Here is a 7,012-nt window from a genome sequence, read left to right on the forward strand (position 1 = left end):
CACCAAAGTTGAAATGAGGGAAAAAATGCTAAGGGCAGACAGAGAGAAAGGTCAGGTTACCCACAAAGGGAAGCCCATCAGACTAACAGCGGATCTCTCGGCAGAAACTCTACAAGCCAGAAGAGAGTGGGGGCCAATATTCAACATTCTTAAAGAAAAGAATTTTCAACCCAGAATTTCATATCCAGCCAAACTAAGCTTCATAAGTGAAGGAGAAATAAAATCCTTTACAGACAAGCAAATGCTGAGAGATTTTGTCACCACCAGGCCTACCCTAAAAGAGCTCCTGAAGGAAGCACTAAACATGGGAAGGAATGACTGGTACCAGCCACTGCAAAAACATGCCAAATTGTAAAGACCATTGAGGCTAGGAAGAAACTGCATCAACTAACGAGCAAAATAACCAGCTAACATCATAATGACAGGATCAAATTCACACATAACAATATTAAACTTAAATTTAAATGACCTAGATGCTCCAATTAAAAGACACAGACTGGCAAATTGGATAAAGAGTCAAGACCCATCAGTGTGCTGTATTCAGGAGACCCACCTCACATGCAGAGACACATATAGGCTCAAAATAAAGGGATGGAAGAAGATCTACTAAGCAAATGGAAAACAAAAGTAGGCAGGGGTTTCAATCCTAGTCTCTGATAAAACAGACTTTAAACTAACAAAGATCAAAAGAGACAAAGAAGGCCATTACATAATGGTAAAGGGATCAATTCAACAAGAAGAGCTAACTATCCTAACTATATATGCACCCAATACAGGAGCACCCAGATTCATAAAGCAAGTCCTTACAGACCTACAAAGAGACGTAGACTCCCACACAATAATAATGGGAGACTTTAACACCCCACTGTCAACATTAGACAGATCAACGAGACAGAAAGTTAACAAGGATATCCAGGAATTGAACTCAGCTCTGCACCAAGTGGACCTAATAGATAGTTACAGAAGTCTCCACCCCAAATCAACAGAATATACATTCTTCTCAGCACAACATCACACTTATTCCAAAATTGACCACATAGTTGGAAGTAAAGCACTCCTCAGTAATGTAAAAGAACAGAAATTATAACAAACTGTCTCTCAGACCACAGTGCAATCAAATTAGAACTCAGGATTAAGAAACCCACTCAAAACTGCTCAACTACATGGAAACTGAACAACCTGCTCCTGAATGACTACTGGGTACATACAGAAATGAAGGCAGAAATAAAGATGTTCTTGGAAACCAAGGAGAACAAAGACACAACATACCAGAATCTCTGAGACACATTTAAAGCAGTGTATAGAGGGAAATTTATAGCACTAAATGCCCACAAGGCAAAGCAAGAAAGATCTAAAATTGACACCCTAACATCACAATTAAAAGAACTAGAGAAGCAAGAGCAAACACATTCAAAAGCTAGCAGAAGGCAAGAAATAACTAAGATCAGAGCAGAACTGAAGGAGATAGAGACACAAAAAACCCTTCAAAAAAATCAATGAATCCAGGAGCCGGTTTTTTGAAAAGATGAACAAAACTGATAGACTGCTAGCAAAACTAATAAAGAATAAAAGAGAGAAGAATCAAATAGATGCAATAAAAAATGATCAAGGGGATATCACCACCGATCCCACAGAAACACAAACTACCATCAGAGAATACTATAAACACCTCTACACAAATAAACTAGAAAATCTAGAAGAAAGAGATAAATTCTTGGACACATGCACCTTCTCAAGACTAAACCACGAAGAAGTTGAATTTCTGAATAGACCAATAACAGGCTCTGAAATTGAGGCAATAATTAATAGCTTACCAACCAAAAAGAGTCCAGGACCAGATGGATTCACAGCCGAATTCTACCAGAGGTACAAGGAGGAGCTGGTACCATTCCTTCTGAAACTATTCCAATCAATAGAAAAAGAGGGAATCCTCCCTAACTCATTTTATGAGGCCAGCATCATCCTGATACCAAGGCCTGGCAGAGACACAACAAAAAAACAGAATTTTAAACCAATATCACTGATGAACATTGATGCAAAAATCCTCAATAAAATACTGGCACACCGAATCCAGCAACACATCAAAAAGCTTATCCACCATGATCAAGTGGGCTTCATCCCTGGGATGCAAGGCTGGTTCAGACTACACAAATCAATAAACATAATCCAGCATATAAACAGAACCAAAGGAAAAAAACACATGATTATCTCAATAGATGCAGAAAAGGCCTTCAACAAAATTCTACAGCCCTTCACACTAAAAACTCTCAATAAATTAGGTATTGATGGGATGTATCTCAAAATAATAGGAGCTATCTATGACAAACCCACAGCCAGTATCATACTGAATGGGTGAAAACTGGAAGCATTCCCTTTGAAAACTGGCACAAGACAGGGATGCCCTCTCTCACCACTCCTATTCAACATAGTGTTGGAAGTTCTGGCCAGGGCAATTAGGCAAGAGAAAGAAATACAGGGTATTCAATCAGGAAAAGAGGAAGTCAAATTGTCCCTCTTTGCAGATGACATGATTATATATCTAGAAAACCCCGTCGTCTCAGTCCAAAATCTCCTTAGGCTGATAAGCAACTTCAGCAAAATCTCAGGATACAAAATCAATGCGAAAAAATCACAAGCATTCTTATAAACCAATGACAGACAAACAGAGAGCCAAATCATGAGTGAACCCCCATTCACAATTGCTTCAAAGAGAATAAAATACCTAGGAATCCAACTTACAAGGGATGTGAAGGAACTCTTCAAGGAGAACTACAAACCACTGCTCAACGAAATAAAAGAGGACATAAACAAATGGAAGAACATTCCATGCTCATGGACAGGAAGAATCAATATTGTGAAAATGGCCATACTGCCCAAGGTAATGTATAGATACAATGCCATCACCATCAAGCTACCAGTGACTTTCTTCACAGAATTGGAAAAAACTACTTTAAAGTTCATACGGAACCAAAAAAGAGCCCGCATTGCCAAGTCAATCCTAAGCCTAAAGAATAAAGCTGGAGGCATCACGCTACCTGACTTCAAACTATACTACAAGGCTACAGTAACCAAAACAGCATGGTACTGGTACCAAAACAGAGATATAGACCAATGGAACAGAATAGAGCCCTCAGAAATAATACCACACATCTACAACCATCTGATCTTTGACAAACCTGACAAAAACAAGAAATGGGAAAAGGATTCCCTATTTAATAAATGGTGCTGGGAAAACTGGCTACCCATATGTAGAAAGCTGAAACTGGATCCCTTCCTTACACCTTATACAAAAATTAATTCAAGATGGATTAAAGACTTAAATGTCAGACCTAAAACCATAAAAACCCTAGAAGAAAACCTAGGCAATACCATTCAGAACATAGGCATGGGCAAGGACTTCATGTCTAAAACACCAAAAGCAATGGCAACAAAAGCCAAAATTGACAAATGGGATCTAATTAAACTAAAGAGCTTCTGCACAGCAAAAGTAACTACCATCAGAGTGAACAGGCAACCTACAGAATGGGAGAAAATTTTTGCAATCTACTCTTCTGACAAAGGGCTAATATCCAGAATCTACAAAGAACTCAAACAAATTTACAAGAAAAAAAAAACAACCACATCAACAAGTGGGCGAAGGATATGAACAGACACTTCTCAAAAGAAGACATTTATGCAGCCAACAGACACATGAAAAAATGCTCATCATCACTGGCCATCAGAGAAATGCAAATCAAAACCACAATGAGATACCGTCTCACACCAGTTAGAATGGCAATCATTAAAAAGTCAGGAAACAACAGGTGCTGGAGAGGATGTGGAGAAATAGGAACACTTTTACACTGTTGGTGGGACTGTAAACTAGTTCAACCATTATGGAAGTCAGTGTGGCGATTCCTCAGGGATCTAGAACTAGAAATACCATTTGACCCAGCCATCCCTTTACTGGGTATATACCCAAAGGAATATAAATCATGCTGCTATAAAGACACATGCACACGTATGTTCATTGCGGCACTATTCACAATAGCAAAAACTTGGAACCAACCCAAATGTCCATCAATGACTGACTGGATTAAGAAAATGTGGCACATATACACCATGGAATACTCTGCAGCCATAAAAAGATGAGTTCATGTCCTTTGTAGGGACATGGATGAAGCTGGAAACCATCATTCTCAGCAAACTATCGCAAGGACGGAAAACCAAACACCACATGTTCTCACTCATAGGTGGGAATTGAACAATGAGAACCCTTGGACACAGGATGGGGAACATCACATACCGGGGCCTGTTGTGGGGTTGGGGGAGGGGGGAGGGATAGCATTAGGAGATATATCTAATGTAAATGACGAGTTAATTGGTGCAGCATACCAACATGGCACATGTATAAATATGTAACAAACCTGCACGTTGTGCACATGTACCCTAGAACTTAAAGTATAATAAAAAGAAAAAAGAAAAAAAAGAAAATGCATCCTTGCTGATTATGGTAATCCACATTTGGTCCCTCCCACATTCACAGCCCACATCCTCTCACCATGCTTAGCAAAGCCTGGACCAAACAGCACATTAAGGGCCCACTAATACAAATAGTCAGGTATTGCCAGATTATTTTATGCAAAGCTTTAGAAATCTGTGTTTAAAAATTAACAAATAACAAAAACCTCCTTAGTTGAGAACCCCTGCTTTCAACAGTGTTAGCATCTCTGTTGAGAAGAATTAGCCATTACAAGGTATAAATATATATATATATTAAAATTAGATATATATATGTGATGTATATAATATACATATATATATTTGAGACAGTTTCAATCTATCCCCGAGGCTGTAGTGCACTGGCACAATCACAGCTCACTGCAGCCTCAACCTCTGGGCTCAAGTGATCCTCACAACTCAGCTTCCAGAATAGCTGGGACTATGGGTGCATGTCACCAGCCTGGCTAATTGTTTTCAAATTTTTTGTAGAGAAGAAGGTCTCACAATGTTGCCCAGGCTGGTCTCGAACTCCTGACCTCAAGCAATCATCCCACCTTGGCCTCCCAAAGTGCTGGGATTGCAGGTGTGAGCCACAGTGTCTGGCTTATATTTCTTATTTCATGAGAAAGAAACACTTAACATTGAAAAATTGGAAGGTAAATTTAAGTGTAAATATAAAATATGAGACTCATTCATGATCCCTCTACAAATAGGTAGCCCATGTTTATATTTTGGTGTATTTTGTTATTTTAGGCATAGAACATGATCTGTGCACAAAACTAAAAGAATAAAACATGGGAATTTGGGTTGATGTTGGTTTAATCCTTTTCAGTAGTGGAGAGAAGGATGTGTTTGATTGTTTACAGGTAGGAAAAGAAATATGTCAACCAAGTGTCCCTTTCTTTTAATTTGTGCCACAGAACAATGCATAGTTGTAATTAAAAATAAAAATTTTTATTGACATGTAATTCACATGCCATAAAAGTCACCATTTTTAAGTTTACAATTCAGGAAAAAAAATTTTTTAAACAGAAACAATAACTTGATTGTTTATTAACACCTTTTCATGTTGCTGTGTTCTACAATATCAGTTTTAATGATTTTATAGTTTTCCATTGACAGTATTAAAATAATTTAATTTGTCTTCTATAGATATTTAAGTTGTGTCATGTTTTCACTACTACATACAATATTTAAATCAATATCAGTGTAATGTTATCTTTCATGTCCATTTTTATTTCTATGTTATACATTCTACCACAGGGAATCTGTTTCAACAGGCATATACATTTTTAACCTAAAGAAAAAATAAGTTAAATTCTTAGGTTTTATTTTCAAAATTGCCAAAGGCTTTTGAGAAAAAGGAGAGTACTAAATAAATGATACACACACACATACACACACACACACATTGATAGATGATAGATAGATAGATAGATAGATAGATAGATAGATAGATAGACAGATAGACAGACAGACATAACTGAAACTGAACAGATCCTAAAACTGTGAACTGATGTCGCCCAAGCTGGTCTGGAACTCCTGTGCTCTATATACTATAGAGGGTAGGATCTTATAATATCCAGTACTACCTTGGGGCCAAGTATTTGATAAGACAGAGTATGAAGTCAGGAATATCTGAACGAATCTAAATTTTGGCTCTTCCACTAACTAGTTGCCTGATTTGGAACACATTCCAATTTTCTCATGTATAATATGTGCTATGGTTTGGATGTGGTTTGTGTCTGCCAAAACTTATGTTGAAATTTAATTGGCAGTATGCTGGTCTTGGGAGGTGGTGCCTTTCAGAAGTGATTAGGTCGTTAAAATAGATCAATGTATTTTCCACAAGACTGGTTAGTTCTTGCAGGAATGGAATAGTTCCAGAAAAAGTGGCTTGTTACTAAGCAGGTTGTTACACACTCCCCTTCTCCTGTAGCTCCTCCACCACATTGTGTGACAGCACAAGGTCCCTGCCAGAAGCTGAACACATGTTGTTCCATGCTTCTTAGCCTTCCCAGACTTCAGAATTGTGACCCACGTAAATATCTTTTCTTTAGAAATTACATGAACTCATGTATTCTCATGTATTCTGTTAGGGCAACACAAAGACAACATCAATATCAAACAAAGCCATTTCTGAAACACATTAAGTACTCTAAAAGTGATGCTTGGTTTTTTTACATTTTAGTAATAATAATCATTAGCACATTATTATTAATGTTATTTAACTATATGCTTTCCAAATATAAAGTTATATTCTGTAAGGATATATATACATATATATACACACATATATATATACACACACACACACACACACACACACATATATATATATATATATATATTTTTTTTTTTTTTTTTTTTTTTGTCAGTGTCTAGCTCTGTCGCCCAGGCTGGAGGGCAGTGGTGCGATCTCAGCTTCCTGTAACCTCCGCCTCCCAGGCTCAAGCAATCCTCCCACATCAGCCTCCCAGGTAGCTGGGACTACAGGTGTGCACCACGATGCCCAGCTAATTTTGTATTT

This window comes from Homo sapiens, chromosome 3, assembly GCF_000001405.40.
Source record: "Homo sapiens chromosome 3, GRCh38.p14 Primary Assembly".
Taxonomy (NCBI): domain Eukaryota; kingdom Metazoa; phylum Chordata; class Mammalia; order Primates; family Hominidae; genus Homo; species Homo sapiens.